The sequence below is a fragment of the Homo sapiens genome, chromosome 17, assembly GCF_000001405.40.
Source record: "Homo sapiens chromosome 17, GRCh38.p14 Primary Assembly".
Taxonomy (NCBI): domain Eukaryota; kingdom Metazoa; phylum Chordata; class Mammalia; order Primates; family Hominidae; genus Homo; species Homo sapiens.
In genome coordinates this window covers 21,526,707-21,552,616 of record NC_000017.11, presented here as the reverse complement: position 1 = coordinate 21,552,616, position 25,910 = coordinate 21,526,707, and the positions used below count along the sequence as shown (strand labels likewise).

The 25,910-nt window shown below is 43.5% G+C and overlaps 1 long non-coding RNA gene across 1 annotated transcript, besides 1 other annotated feature; it reads left to right on the top strand.

Annotated features, from left to right (window-relative positions):
* Positions 876 to 1,045: a silencer, noted in NCBI's record as "silent region_8321". NCBI's record gives its function as "represses an Ori minimal core promoter by ATAC-STARR-seq in GM12878 lymphoblastoid cells {active_cell/tissue: GM12878}" and the evidence as "EXISTENCE:reporter gene assay evidence [ECO:0000049][PMID:35858748]".
* Positions 939 to 24,307, top strand: LINC02693 (long intergenic non-protein coding RNA 2693). The gene is made up of 2 exons (NR_160801.1): positions 939 to 1,621; positions 17,079 to 24,307. It is a non-coding gene; the product is annotated as a long intergenic non-protein coding RNA 2693 (long non-coding RNA).
* The last annotated feature ends 1,603 nt before the right edge of the window (positions 24,308 to 25,910 follow it).

The following is a 25,910-nucleotide window of genomic DNA, read 5'->3' as shown; positions in this document are numbered from 1 at the left end:
ATTTTTCCCCCACGATACAGCGCTATCTGCAAAGCCTTGAACTGATAACATAGCTCAGGGGCTAACTCTTGTCTTAGCAGAGTAGCAGCTGAAAAAAGAAGACAATTCTTAACAAACAGGGAGATCAGGAATGCTCACTTCTAAAAACATTATTTATTCAGGGCAAGTGGTATTTGTGACGTGCGAATGAAGCTTAAACTTCAGCTTTAATTTATAAGAATTAGGAAATGCAGATTAAATCTCTGATGCCATATTGTGAATTCAGTAAAGGTTAACTAATCTACGACGCAAAGACAAACGTTAGCTATCCTACGCTTATTATTCTGGAAATTTAATGAAAATTAAACAAGAAGACTCACAGAGTATAAGAATTGTCCCCCCGCCTTAACAGTGTTGTTTTCAGCCTCTGTTGCCTGAAACATTGCAGAATAATTCAGATTTTTTTAACCCCACCTTTTTATTGAGTAAAACCAAAGTACTAAACTAATAAATGTGAAAAAGGATGTTGGGTTTAAAAAGAAAAAGCCTCAAGACATCGAGCCTCTTAGATATTTTAAAAGTGAAGACTGAGAAGGAACGCACTGTTGCTAAACAGAATTATAGGATTATGGTCAATTTATAATCTTTTCAATATGGGATTTGAATGTTCTGATATTAGATACCGTGTACGTGCTTTATTTATATAGTACCTCCCGAGAAGAAAAAAACCAGTATTGGTTTATACAGTATTTGGCATGCTATTCACGTATGCAGTGATGTATACGATGTCAGAGCTAGAAAATAGCTTAGATACGATTTGGATTCAGCGCTGGGCGGCTCCGCCCCCGCCAAGCCCCGCCCCGTCCCCTCAACCCCGCCCGGCTCCGCCTCGTCCCCTCCGCCCCGCCCCGTCCCCTCCGCCCCGCCCCGTCTCCTCCGCCCCGCCCCGACCCCGGGGCATGCGCTGTGCGCCCGGCCGGCGTGGCTGGCTGTTTGAGGACTGCGCGCGGAGCTCCGTGGCGGGTGTCTGAAGTCGTGAGTTTACTGCTTGTAAGGAACATAGCGATCACTGGGAACCTGGAAGTAGAGACTCCTTTCTGCCATCCATCCGTCCCTCGGGCTGCTGCGAATCCCCCCGCCGGCCTCCAGGACCCCGGGCTGACTGAACGCCCGCACCGGTCCCGCCGCCCCAGGGCCCGCTACGCGCCCGGCATAATGGGAGAAAAATCACGACGGAAAGGCCCAGCCCCTCGCCATGCAGACGGGAAGCTTGGCCGCACGTGTGATCACCCTTACGCCCCTTGGAGTTTCACCCCCTCTTCGCGGGCTCCAACAGCCTGGGTCAGGCCTCCTTGTCCTGTGTGGGCCTCTCGGCTGCAAGAACACAGTCCCGAGCCCCGGCGAGCCCGCGCGCCTCCCACCCGCCGTGCACAGGCTGCACTTTACGCCCCAGCACTGCGCCTGCGGGACCATCTGGATCGCTTTTCCATTCTGATGACGTCCTGTACTTCGTGGCTGCAGGCTCCTCAAGCCCCAGGTCTGTGCAGAGACGAGCAAAGCAGCAGAATATCCGTGCCACAGCTTTCTGGAGCACCCATTTTACTACCAGATTTGGAAGGAACGAAGTTAAGTAATTTCCAAGGTAAGTAATTAAAATTTTACGATGAAAAGGCTAGAAACTCTTCTGCTGGTAATAACTGTCAGACATATCTGTGCCTGAAATGTCAGACTTTTTCTGAGAAAAAAACTGAAAACTTGTTTCCCATTATTTTAAATAGGAAAAATTATAGGGCACAACAAGTCAATAGAAAAAAACCTACCAATTTCCTAACTCACAGTGTGGCAGTAGGTTTAAGTTGCACATAAGTTAGGATGTAAAATGCTTAAATGTTGCCACTTGGTCACCCACATTTGATATGGTTGTTAACATGCATTTGCCTTGGATGCAGTAGCTGTGCGACCAGCAACATCACACGTGAACCTCCCCTTTGTCAACACACCAAAGCTTTTTGAAGTGACTGTCATGATCCTGATGGTCTACCAGTTGTTTCTGGAAGGAACATGTGGTTTTTTCCAGCAAACTATTTAGTTTAAAATGTTGTAATTTTTGAAAGCTCAAACATTATGTCTACAACCATCAGCCAAAAAATTTGAGACAGGTTCTTGCTCTTTTGCCCAAACTGCACCACGAAAGGGGTTCCAGCGATCCACCTGCTTCAGCCTCCCCAGTAGCTGAGACCACAGGTTTGTGCCACCATGCCTGTTAATTTCTAAATTTTTTGTAGAAACTACATCTCCCCACATTGCCCAGGCTGGCCTCGAACTTCTAGACTCAAGCAATTTTCCTGCCTTGGCCTCCCAAAGTGCTGGAATCACAGGCGTGAGTCACCAACCGCACTCAGCCTGAAAAATGTTTTGTGAGATAAATAGCTGCTATACAGTTTAGATATTAAAAACTAAGATGTGTTCTTCCAGGAAAGTTATACTTTCAGATATATTCTGTGTCACATCCTGTATGATGAAATAGATGGCAAAAAAAAAAAAAATCCCATTTAATTTAAAGATGGAAGCTGTAACTTCAAGTAAATTTGGAGCTGAGGAGTCCTTTCGGGCTATGACCCCAGAATTCTGGGGTTCTCTGTACTGATTTTTTGCTAGTGTCCACACACAAGCATTCCTTAATGCTGTGCATTAAACAAATAGACCTTTTTTAACCCCAGGTTTCTCTCCATTTACCATTCTGTTTCTCTGCTCCATGCAACTTCCTCACCTCATGTCCTCTCTTGCACCCACTCCTTTCCAGCTTTCCTCCAAGGTACTTTGCTGAAACGACTTTTATCTCAGTCATTTAGCTGCATTTGACACAGACGATACAATTGAGGAGTTCCACCCTTTCTTCTGGATTTTAGGGACCTTCCCTCCTGGATTCCCTCTCACCTTTATCCTCATCCTCCTGCTCCTCCTCCACCAGATCTCTAGTGATCCTCTCAGAATGATCCCACACAGTCTCATAGCTTTAAATACCATCCATCTGTTGATAACCACTAGGCTTGGGGCCTCTTCCCTGAGGGGAGCACCAAGAGTCATCCCTGACTCTTTTCCCTTCTCCCCCAACCCCCATGCAACCACACAGCAAGTCCTGTGGCTCTTGAGTGCAACCAGCATCCTGATTCACCATCTCCATTTCCACAACCAGTTTCAGTCACCTTCCTCTCCTACTGGGCTACTGCCAAGAATCCTCCAACCTCCCTGCATCTTGTCTTGCCCTGCTACAGTCCAGCCTCCACTCAAGCATCCAGAGTGATCTCTTGAAAATGTTAAAACATGATATAGGCATACCCCCACCCCTGTGTAAACCCTGCCACTATCTACTCATTGCAGTAGAATAAAAGCTCAGACAACCTGGTGCCTGCCTCTTCAGCCTCATCTCCTGCCCTTGCTTGTTCTTGCTATGTGGGTCAGATTTTCTGGTCTCCAGAGCTGAAAACAATCTTAACTGACAGACGTTAGATCATAGACTTTATCTACAGCATAAGGCATGGAAGGAAAAGTCTGAGAGAATGAAGGGCCAGAAAAGCTTGTTTAAAAAAAAAATAAAAAGCACAGGAAACTGGAAACGTAACTAACCTGTATGTATATACTTAAAAGAACATGGTAACAAAATGAACTCTTTAGAAACTGAGCCAACAGACTTGCAAACAAATAGAAATACCTTTGGTCCTACTCTGAAAACAAGAAGAATCCTTAGTGAGTATACAAGAACAAAAATTGTACACATTTCTGGGTCATAATGCAATAAAACTAGAAATAATCAAAAGAGAATTTAAAGATGTTCAGCTTCCTGAAAATGTTAAATTATCCTTTTAAACAAATTAATGCCTGCATCAGGGTGCAAATCCAAAACACAAATACCTTGCCTATAAAAATATATTTTTGCAAACAACAGTGTATCGGGATGTGAGGAGAGAGCTCACTGACTCAAAAGCTCCCAGAGTGACCAGATGTGTTCATGGGAACCGGAGCACTGCCCTGGAGTCATTTGACATCACCTTATTACAAGTAGGAACAGCCATGCTGGGAGATGCTCAGATGCCAGTAATAAGTCAGAGGATTCCCTCCTGAATGGGACCTCCCAGTCCTCTTTGGCACAGGGTTCCAGGCAGTGACCACAAATCCATCGGTGATGGCTTACAAGATCAACCTGCCCTCAGGCAGTGGAGTGGAAACTGGCACTAGCAGCTACAGTGGAAAAAATGAATGGCCTCTAAGAATATGTCATCTGCCCCATGCAAAGATTCTGGATCCCAGAAGTCCTCCTAGTAAGGACTCGGAGCCAGACAACTTCATTTCCTGTCACCTGGGCTGCTCTCCCTCTGACAGCTATGGAAATTGGTGAAGCACAGGAACGTATTGGAAATGGCAATGATGTGCCATGCCAATGTGTGGAAGTGTACAAGTTAAGTAATATTTTAAAAACAGAACACACAACAGTTTGCACAATCCGACCAAAGCTCTGTCATGTATGTTTCTAAACAAGTTTGGAAGAGAATTTGGAAATGGCTGAAATTTTTTTATAAAGCTTATGTTTTTAGTTTGTTTAAATGTAAAAGCATACACTTAGAAACAAGTTAGTATGTAAAAATTTTTAATCTTAGCTATCTGGAAGCTTCAAATACTTAGAATGAGGCATTTCCCAAAGGTATCTGTAACTTGAATTTTACCGTAGTTTGAAAACTCTTGCCCAGCATAATGGCTTACAGCGGTAATCCCAGCACTTTGGGAGGTTAAGGTGGGCAGATCACTTGAGCTAGGAGTTAGAGACCAGCCTGGGCAACATGGTGAAACCCCATCTCTACAAAAAATTTAAAAATTAGCTGGGAGTGGTGGCACTGCTGATAGACACAGCTACTCAGGAGGCTGAGGTGGGAGGATCCTTGAGCCCGGGAGGTCTAGGCTGCAGTGAGCCGTGATCGCACCAGTGTACTTCAGCCTGGGCAACAGTGCCAGACCCCGCCCCCTCCCCTAGAAGAAAGAAAACTATTAGTTCATAGTGCAGTTGATGAAATAATGTACATCCACAAAGAAACAAGCAATCATAATATGTATATAATTACTCAGTATTAAAATATTGTGTATAGTATTACATATATTGAATACCTATAATGAATGGGGCACTGCTTTAAGCACTTTATACTCATTATCCCACAAGAATTCTCTCTCCAGCAGGTCTTAGTATATTCAATTTAAAGGCTAATTAGTAAGCAATATATAGAATTGAATGAGAAACTACTTAAAACATAGAAGGCTCTCGAAAATACAATGTGGAATGAGTAATGCAAGTTACAGAGATACACAGCACATTTATAGAAAGTGTAAAAACTTACAAAGTTAAACAGTATATTATTTAGAGAAACAATATATTATTTAGAGATATTATTATGTAATAAAAGTATAATGAAAGTCAGGGAAATACTTTTTGTAAAGCTTCAGATGAATGATTGTCCCAGATGGGGTTACATTTCAGAAGGGCCAACCATGCAGATGGCTTCAAATGTAGTGGTGCAGGTGATGGGTACAATGTATTTATTTTACTTTTATGTGAGTCTGTGTATGTGTGTGTGTCTGTGTAATTTTGTATGTATAAAATAGTTCGTAATAATTTTTTTTTTGAGTTGGGATGTTTCTCTGTCTCCCAGGCTGGATTGCAGTAGCATGATCACGGCTCACTGCAGCCTTCACCTCTCAGGCTCAAGTGATCCTCCCACATCAGCCTCCTAAGTACCTAGGACTACAAGTGCGCACCACCATGCTTGGCTAAATTTTTTAAATCTTTTGTAGAGATGGGGTCTCACTCTATTGTCCAGGCTGGTCTTGAACTCCTAGCCTCAAACAATCCTCCTGCCTCAGCCTCCCCAAGTGCTGGTATTACAGGGTAAGTTGCTGTGCCCAGCCTAATTTTTTTTTTATTTTTAAACAGCTTTATTGAGGAAAAATTCACATACCTTATGATCTGCTAGGGTTTAGTATAATCACAGATATGTGCAACCAAAACCATGGTTAAGTTTACAACATTTTTATTAGTCCTGTACCTTTTAGCTATCACCCTGTTCCCCCACCCCTACCCCAGCTGTAAGCAATCACAAATCTAGTTTCCATCTCAATAGATTTTTCTTCCCTGGGCATTTCATATAAATCAATCCATATAAGTGTTTTTTCATGTCTGGCTTCTTCACATTTGTCTCATCCAGAAGGTGCCTGAATTTTTCCACAACTGGGAATACTAAGCTGTGGGGTGAATTTTTGGTTCCCAAGTGAATGTGAATGAGGCAGATTGGAAGGAGAGTTCTTTTACTGAGGGAACGGGACAAGAACCAATGAAAGAAAGAGATCCAGCAGGAGGGGAGGGAGGAAGCGGGGTGGAGAGCTGCTTGAAGCAGATGAACAGAGCTCTGGGCCATGACAGCAGAATAGAAGGTGCCGTGCAGTGGGGTGCAGGTCCTGAGGGGGAGGGAGGGGGAATGTGGAAAACAGCAGGTCATAAACTCTGAATTCCAGCTGCTGGAGCTGTGGGTCCCAGGGGCCTGGTTATCCCCTCACAGGCAGGAGCTGGAAAGTGGGGCTCTGCTCAGGTCCAGGAAGGAAGTGGGTGCACGGGTGGTGTGGACATGTGCATGGAAGCCCACAGTGCCCACAACGTGAGGTCAGAACTTCAGGGAGAACCTGCATTTGGGCTCCAAGCTGGTTGGAAGTATTCTTTCATTCAGCAGCCTTCTCATTAAGTGCCTGCTGTGTGACAGACACTGCAGAGCACAGAGATGCAATCTTACCTGTCCCAGCCTTCCAGGCACCAGGGGTGCCACGCGCTTTCAAACAACCAGCTCTCATGTTTCATAGAGCAAGAACTCACTCACTACCACTGGGAGAGCACCAAGCCATTCCTTCCAGGGACTTGCCTGGAAGGCTGGGACATGGTTATTTTCCATCTCCCCACGGTTCATGGAACTGTATTCTGCATAGAATGGGCAAAGTACAACTATCATTGATTAGTAATTGAAGAAACAAAGATTTTACCTTCATGTTTTTTACAAAATGCAATATCTGAGATGTAGCATTCTATATCTTTGGCTTCTTTAATGTTAGCTATACAGACAAAATAGAAAATGAAAAAAAATTTTCCAATATTAAATATTCACATTGATGTCTGTATTAGTCTATTTTCTGTTGCTATAAAAGAACACCCGAGGCTGGGTAATTTATGAAGAAAAGAGATTTATTTGGCTTATGATTCTGCAGGCTGTACCAGCCTGGCACCACCATCTGTTTCTGGTGAGGACCCTAGGAAGCCTCCAGTCATGGTGGAAGGGGAAGTGGAGCAAGGAAGAAAGGAGGTGGGGTGCCACGTGCCTTCCAACAACCAGCTCTCATGTTTCATAGAGCAGGAACTCACTACCACTGGGACAGCACCAAGCCATTCCTGAAGGATCTGCCCTCAAAGACCCAAACACCTCTCACTAGGCCCCGCTTTCAACATTGGGAATCAAATTTCTTTCTTCTTTCTTTCTTTCTTTTTTTTTTGAGATGGTATTTCGCTCTGTCACCCAGGCTGGAGTGCAGTGGCATGATCTCAGCTCACTGCAAGCTCTGCCTCCCAGGTTCATGCCATTCTTCTGCCTCAGCCTCCCGAGTAGCTGGGACTACAGGTGCCCACCACCACGCCGGGCTAATTTTTTGTATTTTTAGTAGAGACGGGGTTTCACTGTGTTAACCAGGATGGTCTCGATCTCCTGACCTTGTGATCTGCCTGCCCCGGCCTCCCAAAGTGCTGGGATTACAGGCTTGCACCACCACACCCATCCTAGGCCCCATTTTCAACATTGGGAATCAAATTTCTTTCTTCTGTTTTGTTTTGTTTTGTTTTGTTTTGTTTTGTTTTGTTTTGTTTTGTTTTGTTAAAGAGATAATCTGACTCTGTCACCCAGGGTGGAGTGAAGTAGCGCAGTTATAGCTCACTATAGAAGCCATGGCTGAGCTGAGCCGTAGCTTACTGTGGCATCCAACTCCTGGAGCTCCAGAGGTCCTCCCACCTCGGCCTCCTGAGTAGCTGGGATAACAGGCTCAATCCACCATGCCCAACTAAGTTTTTAATTTTTTGTAGAGACAGGGTCTCACTAGGAGGTCAAATTTCAACATGAGATCTGGAGGGGACAAATATTCAAACTGTATCAATGTCAACAGGTTTTTTTTTCCTCATAAAAGAGTATCTATGTGTTAGGAACTTTAGATGTTCAAAAAGTGGTGGGGGGAAGAAATATATAATAAGGGACACACACTTTATAATTTCCTCACATTTTAAATTACTCCAATAACTAATACATAGATGGATTTATGGGTCTGGAATTTTTTCAGTGAGACATTTGTTTATAATTAAAATATGGATTTTATCTCCTTATTCCTTTTTAATTCAGTCCGAGGCCTGAGCCACCATCAAAACCTTCCTACATTGAAGCTGGGGTTTTTCCCTGAAAATGTTGCTTGTTAGGAAAAAAGGAGGCAGTTGCCTTGAGCCAGCTGACCTTGGCCGCCATGCCGCTCTCACATAGGAGTGTTATTCAGTGGGAAGTTTTGCTCTCTGCATCGCACCGCAGCCCCTCAGCCATGAACTCAGCAAACACTGTCCCATTTTGCCCCCAGTAACAAGCACAGGGGCACCATCACAGGCTAGTACCCAGTGTGAACTAAGTCTTGGGAACTTACTGGAATTGTTGGAAGATATGCCCCTTTTTAGTAATGCACATGGCTGTAAATATTAGGTACAATTTGATTTCAGACTCAATTCATTATGTGTTTTGGCTCAGCTGTGGCCTGCATATGGTGTTGCTGATATAGAAATGAAAATGCTGGTGAGCCACAGAAAGAAAAATCCTGTGTTTTCTGAAAGCTTCAAACACCTTTGGCCTTGTTCCTTAATCACCTGGGAGGAAGAGAACCTACAAAAACTGGAAACGCAGTGGCCAGCAACCAGCCCTTGAGAGGCTTGCTGAGCTGTGAGGGTCTGGAGGAGGAAGAAGCTCTACATTGTTTCTGCAGCCCCCGTGCAAAACAATGTTGAATTCCAGCGTGATATTGAAATGAATGTATTTTATTTTAATGTTAAATCTTAAATTTTTTATTAAGTCCTTTGTTCACAAATGGAAACAACAAAATGACAAATTATTTAAAATTTTCAGATTTTATAACCTTCCTGTCCTCTAGCAAAAAAAAAAAAGAAAGAAAGAAAGAAATTTGATTCCCAATGTTGAAAGGGGGGCCTAGTGAGAGGTGTTTGGGTCTTGGGGACAGATCCTTCAGGAATGGCTTGGTGCTGTCCTGGTGGTAGTGAGTGAGTTCTTGCTCTATGGAACATGAGAGCTGGTTGTTGTGAAAGCGCGTGGCACCCCACCTCCTTTCTTCTTTGCTCCACTTCCCCTTCCACCATGACTGGAGGCAGCCTGAGCTTCGGAAAGGAGGCAGTCCTTTAAGACAGCCGTGTCCAATATAAACAGAATATGAGCTATGCCTGCCTGTAGTTTTAAATTTTCTACTAGCCAGGTTAAGGAAACTAAAGAGAAACAGATGGAATTGATTTGTAATAATATAATTTATTTGACCCGATGTATCCAAAATATCATTTTAATGTGTGATCAGTATAAAAATACTAATGAAACGTTTTACATTTCTTTGTCCTAAATCTTTAAAACTCACTCCATATTTTACACTTCTAGCATATCTCAGTTCAAAGCAGCCAGATTCCAGATGTTCTGAGGGCTCTGACTCCCTGAACTCAGGAAGGTGAAGGGCCTGAACCCCACTTCTCTGCCAGGAGGGAGGGAGCTCCCCCTCCCTACCCACATCTCTTCTCAGTCCCAAAGGAAGAGAGAGTGCCCTGAGAGAGCAGGGGCTGCCAGCAGGAGGTGGCCACAGGTAGGCCACTGCTGCCCATCTGCTGCTTGGTGGGGCCATTCTCCCCTCCAGAGATCAGAGGACAGCGGGGTCCCAGGAGGTGGGTCCTGTCCACAGCCTTGACCTCCAGAGTTTAGATTTGGAGGGAATAGATTCCAGACAAATGCCTTACCTTGCTATTTGGCCTTTGCCCTAGTGGTCAGGCTGTCATCTATTTCCTCCTGTGTTGTGTGATACTGTGTGAGTTTTAAGCACATACATGTCTACATGCATTTCTTTATAATTCAAGGGACCCAACTTCTAATAAGGGGAAAAGGAATTCAGTACCTAGACGGTCCCTATAGTGTGCCAGCTAACTTGTAGTCAGCATGTTGTTAATCCTGGCATCCTGTCAGCTCTGGGTGTGTTAGTTAGCTGTTACTGTGTAATGAGCCATCCCAAAACTTATTTAGCTCATGATTGAGCAAGTCAGCAATTTATGGCAGGCTCCTGCCATAAATTAATTGCTATACCTATAAAACCTGCCGTACCTTTATAAGGTATAGCAATCTTCATGTGTGTGTATGGGAGAAGGGGGTCAGCTGCTGGTGACCAGACAGCTCTGCTGTTGAGAGTGAGTTGGCTTGTGGACTGGGCAACTTTGGTTCTCTTCCGCAAAGTGTTTCATCCTCTAGCAGGCTAACTTGGGCTTGTTGTCACGGAGATAGCACGGTTCTGAAAGAAAAGGAAGAAGCATTCAAGACCTTTTGAGACTGGGCCCAAAACTGCCAGCTGGATCCAAGTCTTGGGAAACAGATTCTAACTCTGGATGGGAGCAGCTGTAAAAGCGCATTGCAAAGGGTGTAGACACAGGGAAGGATGAAGAAACACGTATAAAGCACTTCACATGTTTGGAAATTCTTTTCATCCCATTTTGGTATTTGTAGGCTATTACTGGTCTTCAACACAGACTAAATCAAAATGCTGTGCCCAAAACAACCTCTTACTCTGAAAGCAAGTGATGTAAAGATAGATCTGCTGAAAAGACATTTCCTCCTGCTGCAATTTAGTCAAGCAGCTGAGCACGTCTTGAGCCGTCCTTTGATTTTAACAGGGCAGAGCTGTTTTCTAAGACTGCCCACCACCCCTCCCCGCAAAGCTGAGATGCTGCGATGAGGCAAATCCCCGCAGCACACAAGGAAATCAGGCACAGCTAAGGTTCTCACCCCTGATGCACCTTACAATCACCTGGGTGGCAGGGGGCTTTTAAAATTCCCAAAACCCAAGTTGCAACAGACCAGTGAAATCAGAATCCCTGGGGTAGGATCCAGACATCCTTGCTGTTTAAAGCTCTCCAACTGGTTACAATGTGTGGCCAGAATTGAGAACCACAGCATGAAACCAACGTCTTTTGATGAACTAGTAGCAAATGGTTTCTTAAACGAATGTGAAGTCTTTGCTGCCGAGCTGTAGCCTTTCAGTCTTAATTGCGTTATTTACATTACTTACTTACTTACTATCTTTTGCAGGACTTGACCTCTGCTCCTCGTTTTGTTTCTGATTCAACTCAATTTCACAAGTGCTGAGTGCATATGATGTGCAGAGCACCGTGCTAGTTATTGTGGCCTTGGTTTGGGGAGGACTTTGCTGGGAAATAAAATCACATCGTCAGAAATAAGAGTCTTACTACTTACCAAATTGAGGCAGAAATGGGAAGACCTAGGGGGTCTCACCCAAGGGTTAGGACACTAATAGATACATCAGAATATTACAGTTCATCTGATGATGCTGTGAGTGGAAGTGTCCCACTTTGAAACAAAAAACACTGCTGTTACTCTGAGATACTAAGTTATGTGTGCAAATATGTGGTATTTAACTATTTTGTTGATATATAACATGCATATAGAAATACGTGCATAAAGCATTTACTTAAGCTCAATATATATTATGACAAAATTGATACACGTGGGTAACCAAGAAATAGAAGCAGCCTCACTCATGTGGCCCACAAGCGCTTTCTGCCTCCCTCCTCTTCAAATGTACCAGTGTCTTAACAGCTGACATTACAGATCAGTTTTGTCTTTCTGTGCAAGTCTTTTCGTTACAGAAAAATTTAAATATATAAAAAATGAACAAAATTGTATAATAGAGCCGTGACCCAGCTTCAACAGCTAATAATCATGTGCCATTTTTGTTTCTTCTGTACCTCAGCCCTTTCCCTACTACCCCTCACTTTATTTTTTTTTTTAGTTCTTTTTTGGTGAGGTAAGATACACATGCATTGAAAGGCACAAATCTTAATTGTACAGCTTTGAAAAATAAATACACCCATATAACCTTCACCTCTTTTCAGAATGGAATATTTCCATCATCCCCAGAAAACACCCTCATGCTCATTCCTAGGCAATTTTTAACTCCCCCAGAGGAAAGTACTGTTGTGGGGGTTTTTTAACTGTAAGTTCATTTTGCTTGAAATCATAAAATATACATTTTTATGTCCAGCAGTCTCAGCATAATATTTGTGAAACACCTCCATAGTGTGTGTTTTAGTAGTTTGTCCCTTTGTATTGCTGAATAGTATTCTGTTGTATGAATGCACCATGGTTTGTTCATACATTTCTCTGTTGATGAATATTTGGGTTATTTCCTGTTTTGGGCTATCATAATAGTAAAGATCTATGAACATTCTTATACAAGTACTTTTTTGTATTGTTGTATTCCTTTATTAGCATTGAAGTGACACATTTTTTCATTTTTTAGCAGTTCCTCCAAGGATTACAGTGTGCATCATTAACATTCTCACAGTTTAGAGTTAATATTGTACTGTTACAGTGAGTGTAAAATAGAAAAACTTGCTACAGAATAGCACCATTTATCTCCTATCCTTTGTGCTGTCGTTGCCATAAATTTTACATCTGCACATGTCATAAACCCCACAACACAGTGTTATATTTGCTTTAGTCATAGATCTTTAGGTGAAATTAAGAGGAAAAAAAAGAAAAATATATAATAAATATTTGGAGGGAGATGTTTTGAGGCCACAGAAACATACTGTTTCTTCATCCACAATTTTTGCATTCGTTGATGACTCTTTCCTGCAGTAATGATTACTGTGGTGTTCTAGTGGTAGTTTTCTATTTGTGCTCCTTCAACATTTATTACTTGGAATTCTTCTGCAAGGAAGATTTGTCTTTCCTTCCTGATTTATGTAATCTTTTCTATATCAGTATGGACTTGTGGATATTTATTTTATGTTCTTGGTTACAATTTAGTGCTGTCATAACTGTTTGCCACTCACATTGTTCCACCTTGAGTCATAGAGAGCTCTTCCAGGTTGGCTTCTTTTGACATGTCCCCACCCTTTTATGTTTTTTAAAAGCACTTTCTTATTTTCTGGCACTGCAAGTTGCTCTAGTCTCATCTTGTGTTTTTCGTGGCAGGCCTAGAATTAGTCATTTCTCCAAGAAGCCTTGGTTTCTTTTATAGGAGAATGGTATTTAGAAACCAGGATCTGGGTACTGGGTGTGCTCATTAATACTGGGATATCACTGCTTCGAGGCCCTCTCAGCATAGTTTGGAAAAATGTGAATGTTTCCAAACATGTATGCATGAATACAAACTCAGCATCTACCTATCTACATCTGTCCATCTAAACAGATACATTAAAATAGACATGGGTTCATACTGACATTCCTAACTCCAGTCCAGCACCTTAGGGTTTATTCTAGCATTCTCCCTTTGTTTATTTATAACTCTTTCACCTACAGAGAGAAACTGGGCTCTAATTCTCTAAAATATATTTGCTAACATGGAAAATCATTTCAGAATTGCTCACCCATACCCTGAAACAAATTTGCCAACCAGAATACAGTATGTTTGTGTGCAGTTCTTGAGTCTTACAGTATGCAGTCAAAACAGTATTTTCAAAGGTTACTTAGGTGAAGACTTTTTTCCCCCACACTCTTCAATATGGGTTAGTCATAATTTTTAACTCAGTAAGATTCATTTGTCACCAACTGCATTCCATCTGACCCGCCCACCATCTTTGTTGATTTTTAAATTTACATAGAATAAAATTCATTCTTTGTAACATACAGTTTCATGAGTTTTGACAACTGTATAGAGTTATACATTCACGTTCACAGTAACACAACTGTCTCATCATCTCTAAAATTCTCTATTGTTGACGCCTCTTTGTAGTCAACCGCTTCCCCAACCGCATTCTTTGGCAACCACTAATCATTTTCTATCCCTATAATACTGCCTTTTCTAAAATATCATATAAATAGGATTATAGAACATATACAACACAGATGAATCAATTGGGTTGTTTGTTGTTGTTGAGTTGTCAAGAATCACTTGGCAATATATGTGAGAGTTTATTTTGGGGCTCTCTAGTCTATTCTGTTCATCTATATGTCTGTCTTTATGCCAGCACCACATTGTTTTGATTTCTGTAGCTTTGTACTAAGTTTTGAAATCAGGAAGTATGCGTCCTCCAACATTGTTCTTTTTCAGGATTGTTTGGGCTATTCTGGATCCTGAAATTTTATGTGAATTTTAGGATGAATTTTTCTGTTTTGCCCAGCACATCATTGGGATTTTTACATTCTTGGTTTAGTTAATTCCTAAGTATTTTATTCTTTTTGATGCTATTGTAAATAGAATTTTCTTAATTTCCTTTTCAGATTATTCATTATTAGTATTTAGAAACACAGCTGATTTTTGTGCACTGATTTTGTATCCTACCATTCAGCTGAATTTGTTTATTCTAACAGGTGTGTGTGTGTGTGTGTGTGTGTGTGTGTAATCTTTAGGGTTTTCTACATCTAAGATCATATCATCTGCAAACAAATATAATTTTACCTCTTTCTTTTCAGTTTGGATGCCATTTGTTTATTCTTCTTGCCTAATTGTTCTGGCCAGAACTTCTAAGCCATTTTGAATAGAAGTGGTGAAAGCAGGTCTCCTTCCTCTGTTCCTATCTTAGTAGAAAACCTGTCAGTCTTTCACCATTAAGTATGATGTTAGTGTGCGTTTTTCATATATGGTCTTTATTATATTGAGGTAGCTTCCATCCCCTCTGCATTTGCTGAGTGTTTTTTCATGGAAGGGTGTTTAAATTTTGTCAGATGCTTTTTCTACATCAGTTGAGATAATCATGTGATTTACCACTCCATTCTCCTCATGCAGTGACGTTTGAATGTTCAACCATCCTTGCATTCCAAGAATAAATTCTACTTGGTCATAGTGTATAATTATTTTAATATGCTGCTGAATGTAGTTTGTTGGTATTTTGTTGAGGATTTCTGCATTGGTATGCATCAGGGAAGTGATATGTGTCTCTAGTTTTCTTGTCTACTTTTTTTTCTGACTTTGGTATCAGGGTAATGCTGACCTCATAGAATGAGTTTAGAAATGCTCTCTGATTTTCAATTTTTTAGAAGAGTTGGATTAGTGTTATTTAAATGTTTGATAAGATTCACCAGTGAAGCCATCTGATTCAGGGCCTTTCTTTGTCAGAAAGTTTTTGATGACTGATTCAGTCTTCTTAGTATTTACGGGGTCTATTCTAATTTTCTGTTTTTTCATGATTCAGTCCTAGTAGGTTTTGTATACCTAAGAACTTGTCTATTTTATCTAGACTGTCCTATTTGTTGGCAAATAGTTGTTTATAATACACCTCTTATAATTCTTTATTTCTGTAGAATTCGTAATAATGCCCCACTTTTATTTTTGGCTTTGAGTCTCTTTTTCTTAGTCAATCTAGCTAAAGTTTTGTCAGTTTTGTTCACCTTTTCAAAAACCAACTTGTGGTTTTGTTTATTTACTGATAAGGAGGGATTTATTTCTGTCATATACTGTTGGTTGTTTATATGCCTTGTAGCTTTTTTGTCCTTCATTTCCTGCATACTGTCTTCTTTTGTATTTAATTGATTTTTGGTAATGTTTTAATTTCCTCATTTCCTTTTGTATATGTTCTATTGTGTGTGTGTGTGTGTGTGTGTGTGTGTGTGTGTGTGTACCACCATGGGATTACATTTAACTTGCAAGTTTATTCATTCTATTCAATTGTACAAACATACCGTAATTTATTTATCCATTCTACCCTTGATGGTCCTTTGGATTTTTTTAAATTATTGGACTTTTTTTTAGAGCAGTTTTAGATTTACATGAAAAATGAGTGGAAAGTACAGGGAGTTCTCATCTATCCAGTCTCCTGCCCACATGCCCTGTTGTTACCCTTACAGTCTTGCCTTGTGGTACATTTGTTACAGTTGATGAACAATGTAGAAACATTATTATTAACTAAAATTCATCAGAGGTCACTCTTTGTATTGTACCTTCTATAATTTTGAGAAATGTGTAATGACATGACATGTATCCATCATTAATGCAGCATACAGAATAGTTTCACTGTCTTAAAATATCCCTGGTGCCTCAGCTACTTGTTCCTTTCTTTCACCCTCCCCATCCCACAGCCCTGGCAACTTCTGCTGTCTTTACTGTTTCCATAGTTTTGCCTTTTACAGAATATCATGTGGTTGGAATTCTATGGTACATAGCATTCAAGTGGGCTCCTTTCACTTACCAATATGCATTTAAGTTTCCTGTGTGTCTTTTCATGGCTTGTTAGCTCAGTTTTAAATCAAGGAATAATAGTTCATTGTGTGAATCCACAACAGTTTATCCATTCACCTATTGAAAGGCATCTTGATTGCCTCCAAGTTTTAGCAGTTATGAATAAAGCTGTCATAAACATTTACATGGAAGTTTTTGTGTGGATATAAGTTGTCAGCTTACATATGATAAGTGTATACTTAGCTTTATAAGGAACTGCCAGGCCAGACACAGTGACTCACACCTATAATCCCAGCACTTTGGGAGGTTGAGGTGGAAGGATTGCTTGAGCCCAGGAGATCATGACCAGCCTGGGCAATATAATGAGACCTCATCTCTACAAAATAAATTTAAAAATGAACCACGTGTGGTGGTGCCTGTTGGTGTTAATATCATTGTTATGCAACCTGCTCTAGGAAATGACGACCCTGTGTTCTCTAAGATGAACCTAATGAGAACCACTCAAGTCAGTAGTCACAACCCATCATTAGCAGAAGCTCAGAAAATAAGATGTTAAATGCCTGGCCATTAAGTTTTCTTATCTTTGTTTATTTCTACAGAATCATCTCCCCTGCCCCACAAACATGAAAGAAAAGACAAGAGAAGCACCCCAGAAGAGGAGGGGAGAAGTGCCCCAGAAAAAATCATCCAGTCTCTGAAGCTTTGCCCAGGTGGGCACAGGCCAGCCAGCCTCTCCTCTGGTTGCCCAGCTGGCTGCAGGCTGTCATTTAACCTTCCGCCCAGCATGCTTTTGAGTGTGCAGAAGTGCTGCATGCCCTCTTCTTTGAAAACCTGTTGAGCAAATGCCTCCGCATTTTATGCACCTTCAACCTCCACAGCCAAAGGCCCCCAAGACCAAACATGCTGTGCACACACAGCAGCTCTTTGTGTCCCACTCCTGGCCGATCTCCTGCATCATCTCGTTGAGCTTCATTGAACCCCGCAGTCTGCATGCTCTGTGGAACTCAGGGTCTTCATTTTGCATGAAACTCAGGGTCTTCATTTTCCGTGGAACTCAAAGTCTTCTTGCTCTGTGGAACTTGGAGTCTCAGGGCCTTTGTGCTCCATGGAACTTGGGGTCTGTGTGATTCATGGAACTCAGAATCCTTGTGCTCTGTGGTACTCAGGGTGTGCGTGCTCTGTGGAACTCGGGGTCTGCATGCTCCATGGAAAGCACCAGGATGCACTTGACCCCCCACACCCATACATACATCCTTCATTTTATTCCTGGCCCTCACCTGTCCACTCTGTGAGGCTTCTTCACCCCCACTCTCCTTTGAGCTCATGCCGGGTCTTTCAGACTGGCCTGAAGCATGGGTGTTCGTAGGGGGGAGTGGCTGATGTCACACCTTCAGGCAAATTCTGCTAGTGTCACACCTGATGGAGCTGCCTAGGGAGGATGTTTCCTTGGAGGATGCGCCCTGGCAGCCACTGGCTTCTTACGGTGCCTGCACTGCTGCTGCTGCCATGGGGGTGCCACAGGGCCACACTGGGGGCTGTTCTGGAATTGGTGGTTTTCATTTCCAGGTTAGGTAGGGACTGGCAGGCACCTTGGCTGTCCTTGTGGCTTCTGTCTTGACCCTGGTCCTCCCCAGGCAGCTGATTTTCTGGGCTGCTGCTCTTCCAGGAAGAATTAAAGGTGGGAATGGCTGAAACCTCAGCTTTGGATTCACAGAGACCCTAGGCTGTGTCATGCAGAAAGGGAAAGGATTGCAGATGGTGGTGGGATCAGCCGAAGGCAGGGCCTTCACTGTGATGCTGGAGCCCTCCATGCTGGGATGTTTGCATACAGCCCAGGTTCAGTTCGGTGGTCCATCAGCGAGTCCTGGATCTGGTCTCACTCACAAGCCATGGACAACATGAGCTCAGTTTGCCAGGACTCTTGGGGTTAGGGAGAGCTCAGCATCCGGGTGGCTCTGGTTCCTTCTCATGCTGAAACTCTGCTGGTGTTCCTCCATGGGGCAAATGTGGGTTTTTCTGAGGTGCCCCTCTTGCTGGAGTTGAGGATGAGAAATGTTTTCAGTGGGTTTGCACCCTCCACACATATGTAAGAGGTGTTGTGTTTCATTCCTGTCAGGATCCATTGCTGCAGCTTCCTGAAGTTGTGTCCGTTAAAAGGCAGGGACCCGGTGTCCAGGCTACAGAGGGTGACTCCAGGTTCCACACCACCACTGTGGACCAGTGTGCCTATGGACTTAGGAGAGTTCCCAGATCGCACAAGGGGGCTGCCCCAGAGGGTGTTCAGCTTGTTGCCAACAGTTGCTGAAGCCAAAGTCTGCAACCTTGATGTTCAGGTCAAGTAGCCAGAAACAGGTGTTCTGGCTTTAGGTCCCTGTGGACAATGCCATTCTCTCCTTCCCAGGCTACTGATGTCCTGGGTTGCTCCTCTTATGGTAGAAGCTCAAGATGGAATGGCTGGAGCTTGGCTGCCTCCGGTTAGAGCCTGGGCTCTGTATTGCAGACATCACCTGGCAGAATTCCTCATGGGCCCCTTTTGTCGTGGGTGCGACTGCTGGGCCAGGGTTGTCGTGGGTAGTAAAGGTATTTACCAAGACAACCGTGAGTAAAGAAAGGCAAATTTATTACAGAAACTATGAAAATACATTGCAAGAATGCAACATGCAGCACAGCAGAGAAGGGGCTGTCTGCAAAGATAAAGGGCTGGAGGGAAGTTTTCTAAGGTTGTGCTGGACGGCGCTATGTGCAGGTGAGCTTGTGCTATATGCTAAGAATATGTTGGAATAATTTTAACTGCCAGACCTTTCCTCTTCTGGTGCCCGAGGGAAACGCCCTGCTGCTTTTAGCTGTCTTGTAACCCACACGCCTTTTCACTTCTGAAGTTGCAAGAATAACGGCTGTGGTTTTTCACACAAAAGGGTTGCAGACTGGGTTAGGTCCCTGTTCCGCCAACCTGGCTGTTTCCCAGTTTCAGTTAACTTAGTGGTTTACTAGAGCCCCACACCTTTCTCTTTCATATGGCCATGATCCAGGAGGTAATCCGTCACCTCCCCTCCACTAGAGTGCTCCATGGCCAGGGATAATCCGTCACCTCCCCTCCACCAGAGTGCTCCATGGCCAGGGGTAATCCTCACCTCTCCTCCGCTAGAGTGTTCCATGGCCAGGCAGTGTTTCCTGGGTCCAGAGCACCTCAAACAATTTCAGTGTTGTGGTGACTCAGGGCCTTCACCATACAGACTTGACAGCATAGTCTAGAGGCTGGAGGGGCTCTGTGACTCCCATTAATGACAGTCACTGCCACGGTTTCCCCAGGCAGGATGTGCCAGGAGAACTGCTCCATGTTGGCTCAGCAGAATGTTATTATAGGTAGCTCAAAAAGAGAGGGAACAGGGCTTCTCTAGATTATTTCAGGGAACGAGCTATTATTTGAATGTTAATTTAAGACTATTTTATCAATTAAAAATGTAAGGCCCAAGAAACTTCAGTGAGGAAGAATGAACAAATTGAATAAATACTGTTAAACTTTATGCTTCTTTCAGCAAATATTTTCTGCTCGTCTCTATGAGTCAGGCACTTTGCTAGATAACATAACATAGAAACATAGCATCAATCCAATATGGTGTGGGTACTGTATGTCAAATTTAAAAATAAAAGTGCTATATAAGAAACCTCTCAGTGCCCTGGAGGCAGGGTCCAGAGACATATCCTGTGGATGACTGGGGCTGAGGTTTAAGGGATGAGCCTCGGTGATGAGACAGACGGGAGAGGGCACCCTAGGAAAAGCGTCTTCAGGCAATCGTGGTTCAGTGAGCTGCAGCCGTCGCGGCAGGAGATTGAGGAGCGCGGCCTATCTGGTGATTTGCTGTGGTTATGTTCTGTAAACTCGCCTTGGGTCCTGAAGTATTGCTTCTGGGGAAACACAGGGTAAGGTTCCTGCAAGCCTCTGGTTGCAATATTTTCAACTGCCAAGGCACCATTCATGTTCCATGGGTTCATTTTCCAACATCCCTGTAAAACAAGGCAGTCCCATCAGTGTTGAAAACTGCTCTCCACATACCCTTTTCCCGTAGAGTACTTCCTGATCTACAGAGCTGCCACTCCTGAAAAGCTAACACTTTCCATGCCATGCTGCCTTTTGAAAGGTGCCAGCCAGGCAGCATTAGCTAAGGCCTCTTTTTGGCTCTCCTCACAACAGTGCTGCCCGCTGTGCTTTCATTGGTCATCATCTCATGAAGTCACAAATGTAGCTGCTTTTCTATGGTTTCCATGGTTTTGCCACACTCTAGGGGATATTAGTTTTGCACTTTCCCAAGCAGCCTCGTGTACAGGTTGGTGAAGCTCCCCTTCCTCTTTCTGGATGCACTGTAGTGTTTGTCATTAGCGTTGAACTCACAGTTCGCAGCACTAGAACCCACACCTGAACCAAGCTTGGCTAACAAGCGTTTTCTCTGTAAGGCACATTACAGCCTTCTTGCTCATAAGGACACTAGACAGCGCTTCAGCATTATGCTTGGAGGCCGTTTCAAACAGTGAAATCAACAACAAGAAGCTCAAAACTGCAAAAGAAGTGGTACTATAGAGACCATGAGAAGACTGGTTTGCAGGTTGAGAGTAGGAACAAGAAGGCAGCGTGGGGCCCTGCATGGCCTCCGCTGGGAGGCCGATGGCTCAAATTGTTGCCCTACTCTGCACATGTTTTCCTGTGACTGTGAAAGCAACACGAGTATTGATTCGGGGGTTAAAAATACATTTTAACAAGCAGAAAAGTTCACAAATATGAAATAGTGGCTAGTGAGGACCACCCCCATGCTGGAGCTGCAGACAGAGGCTTTTGTGAGTGCGAGGCTTGCTCCTATCCCGGGAGCTTCTGGTTGCCACCAGCACCTTGTAAGCCAGGGAGTGGTGTCACCTGTACTGTAGCAAAAGCACCTTTTCTAAATGTGAAGTATGGCTTGAAGAGAGGAAGATGGAAGATGGCTGTGTTAGGGATGAAGCAAGGATGGGGGTGGATTGACCAAGCTGGGCCAGAGGTGCGAGGAGCTGATCTGCGAGCCCTGTGTGCCTGTGAGTCCTGGCGGAGTGGCCGTGCGTGGTGACAGGGAGGAGGCATCCAGGACAGCACCCACGTTCCCGCCTGAGGCACATGAGGGTGGATGACAGGGTTCGGGGCCCTAGCCTTCAAGTCAGACACACCTGAGTTCAAATCCAGACTCCACCACTGACTGGCTATGTAGCCTTAGACATGTTCCTTCACTTCCCTAAGCGTCCATTTTCTCATGTCCAATACATAGATTACTATGCCATAGGAATATTAAATCACTCAGTGATTTTGAGGTTAAAATGAGTGCTGGTGCTTTTTATTGAAATAAAATGGGAAAAGAAGCAGCATTTGAGGTGTGAGGGAGGGGAATCTGGGCATGGGGAGTTGGATGTGCCTGTGGACACCCATGGACAAATGTCCAGCAGCCATCCAATGTGCTTTCGGGATGCTGGGGCCAGGATGTGGGGCAGCAACATACAGACCTGGAAGTTACAAGCAGGCAGGCAGCTGCTGCAGCTGTGAAGAGCAGGCAGTGCAGGATCAGAGGCCCAGGGTAAAGCCTGGGGAATGCCAGCATTTAGAAAGAGGCCGCTGGAGATCAGAAAAGAGCAACAGGAAAAGCAGGAGGGTGTGGAGGGATGGGAGGTGCAGGAGGAGAGTTTCCAAGAGGGAGGGGCAGGAGTCGGTGTTCTGCAGGCATGGACTGGAAGTCGTAGTACTTTTGAACTGTAGGGACCTAAGACATCTTTTAGTCTAATCCCCTTATCTATCCGGAAGAAGAAATCATGATTCCAAGGTGACATGAGTTGCTTGCTTTAGGTCACAGTGATTTCACATTGGGATACCTCGATTTCTAATGAGTAATAGAATATTTAATAAATACTCTCGAATTTGGAATTGCTCCTATTCCAGTCACACTGGATATTTTCCCAATTTGGTGAAACTGATATTTTAACAACTGTTAACCATTCCATGTACTAAGATGCTTATAGTCAAACTGTGCCTCTTAAACCTATTTTTATTGTGTATTTAACAAATTTTGCTATAATGTTAAAAACAACTTATAACTCATCAAACTGCATTTTAATTTTAGTAAACACAAATTACACTGAAACGGGAGTGTTCCCTGGCCCCTCTCACAGGACGTGTGACAAGGGTTCGGCTCGCTGCCTGTTCAAACCCCTTACGGGAGGGGGATCACGCAGAGGGACAGGTGCAGGAGCCCAAGTGGGTGTGTGCTACAGTGTGCTCTTTTAGCCTTGGCATCTGTGGATGGCTTGAGTGTTAACTAGCTCAGTGGACCCTCAGCCTTTCTGCAAAGGCAGAGGGTCATTGTGACAGCTTTCTGTATCCCAAGCTCTTGTCCATGATCCTGGAAGAATCAGGTCACACACAGACTTGAAGGATAAATGCAGGGGTTTCACTGAGGGGTAGAAGTGGCTCTCAGTAGGATGCATGGGGAGCTGGAAGTGGGGAGGGAGTGCGAAGACGATCTTCCCCTGGAGTTTGGCCACTGGACGGCCAAACTCCTCTCTTACCACCCGCAGCTGAACTCCTCTCAGCGTTCAGGTGTTCCTCATCTTCTCACTTTCTCTGCCATGCCGTTCTGCTGTTTGACTGCTTTTCTCTTCATCTCTTCATCTGCTCCTGGAGCCTGGGGTTTGGGGTTTATATGGGTACAGGATACGGGGGTGTGGTGGGCCAAAGGGCAACTTTTTGGGTACGAAAACAGAAATGCCTGTTCCCAGTTAGGGCCATGGGTCTCCAGGCTTGAGGGTGGGGCCTTTGCTGGGGAGCCGCCCTCTTCTATGCAGTATTTCCCTGTCTCTTTTCTATATCAATACCTCAATAAAATTTAGTTTTAAAAAATAGCACATGTAAAAAGTTTGGCTATTTAAACTAAAAAGTAATTATGTCCTAAATTATTTTGTATACAAAGACCTGAGGACTTGAAATATTGTAATAATTGGAGCTTGTCTCTGCTTTAAGGGCACCACTCGCCCCTGATCCATCTTGGTTTCCCGCACAAGGCAGCAGGATTGCCCATGAATGAACATGGGTGAAATCGTTGGATACAGGTAGTAAATACATTCTATTTCCTGAAAAATATTACCTAACTACATGTCTAGATATGGAATTGCATTTTCAAGCCAAGCTGGAATTACAAATTGTAGCCCATTTGAAAATGCATACAAATGTGTGACATATACACCCAGAGGAAAAGAAGTCACAGTTATGAAAGAACAAAGTGGGAAAATATCTTTTTCATGTAAGATTGAGCATTTTGGTTGATACTGTGATAAAAAATCTTGTGACTGATTCTCTTTTGCATTGGTTTTTAGTGTCATGTGCACTCTGCCCAACTCAGATAAAATTGTATATGATGTAAATAGCAGGAAACTATAAATGGTGATATTGTCCTGAAAGGAAGCCACTTCATTTTTCAAAGATTTCTTCCGCGGCAGGGATCTAGGAGTGTGCAGGGATGGAGTTTTGCATTTCTAGAGGAAACAGCAGGCAGGGTGTGTGCAGCCGGAAAGGGGGCGTCTAGGTTCCAAGGGCAAATCCCACCCCCTTAGAGGGGATTGGAGAGCCTGGGAAAGAGGCTGGGCTGCCTGTGATCCCCACCCCACACCCTGCCTCCTACAAGCCCCTAGAAGGTCCACACTTTGAGTTGTCAGCCAGAGACAGTAACTCAAAACCTCGGCTTCGGGCAGCCAGAAGCCCAGAAATGGGGGAGAGGGCAGGCCTAGACACCAGGGATGAAAATAAAGTGAATATTAAAAATTACCTGCATGTAATGTTTCATATATTCTACATATTTTAATATAAATGCCAGAGGTTTTTGAACCAGAGCAACTCCATCTTGAATAGGGGCTGGGTAAATAAGGCTCCACCCTCAAGCCTGGAGAATCTTGAATAAGGCTGAGGCCTACTGGGCTGCGTTCCCAGGAAAGTAGGCGTTCTAAGTCACAGGATGAGATAGGAGGTCAGCACAAGATACAGGTCACAAAGACCTTGCTGATAAAACAGGTTGCGGTAAAGAAGCCAGCCACAACCAAGATGGTGATGAAAGTGGCATCTGGTTGTCCTCATTGCTCATTACACGCTAATTATGATGCATTAGCATGCTAAAAGACACTCTCACCAGCACCATGAGAGTTTATGAATGCCATGGCAACGTCAGGAAGTTATCCTATACCGTCTAAAAGGGGGAGGAACACTCAATTCCAGGAATTGCCCACACCTTTCCTGGAAAACTCATGGATAATACACCCCTTGTTTGGTATATAAGCAAAAAGTAACAATAAGTACAAGCAGTTGAGCACCCCATTCCACTGCTCTGCCTATGGAGTGGCCATTCTTTTATTATTATTGTTATTATTATTATTGAGACAGAGTTTCACTCTTGTTGCCCAGGCTGGAGTGCAATGGTGCGATCTCAGCTCACTGCAGCCTCCATCTCCTGGGTTCAAGTGCTTCTCCTGCCTCAGACTCCTGAGTAGCTGGGAATACAGGTGCCTGCCACCACACCCAGCTAATTTTAATATTTTTGGTAGAGACGGGGTTTCTCCATGTTGATCAGGCTGGTCTCAAACTCCCAACTTCAGGTGATCCGCCTGCCTCCTCAGCCTCCCAAAGTGCTGGGATTACAGGTATGAGCCACCGTGCTTGGCCACTGGAGTCGCCATTGTTTTATTCCTTTACTTTCTCTAATAAACTTGCTTTCACTTTATGGATTTGCCTCGAATTCTTTCTTGCACGAGATCCAAGAATTCTCTCTTGGGGTCTGGAACAGTGCCCCTTCCCAGTAACATAAATATGTAATAAAACAAAGGTCCATAACTTGACCCAATTGGAAACACAAAATTTACTATAAGGATTTATATAACAAAGAGATAAAAGGGGCCGTGATTGGCTTTTGTGCCTGTGCAGCATGGGCTCCAGATTAACAAATGCACCAATTGACAAAGCTTCATGAACTTAGTCAATGCTGGGACTCAAATTACAGTTATACCTGGGAATCTCACTAAATTTAAACACTGCAATGCCTGTGATCCTGGCAAAATAACTATAGAGGAAAAATAGCCATGCTTTATTTTAACTGTAGCTTTGCCTAAATTTCTCATAAGCATAATACTCATTGCCCTAAAACATGCTCTAACACAATGAGTAATATGTATGATTCAATTAAGTCTTTGGCACCTACAAATTGGCTTGGACCTTGGAGGTCCCCAGTAAAAATAGTTAATATTGCTATAATTATGAGGTAAATTGGACCTTGCAGGTCCCCAGTTAAAATAGTTAATATGACTCTACGTAAGTTATAGCAAGATGTGTTAGTCTGCTAGGGCTACCAGACACTGGGTGACTTTAACAATAGAAATTTATT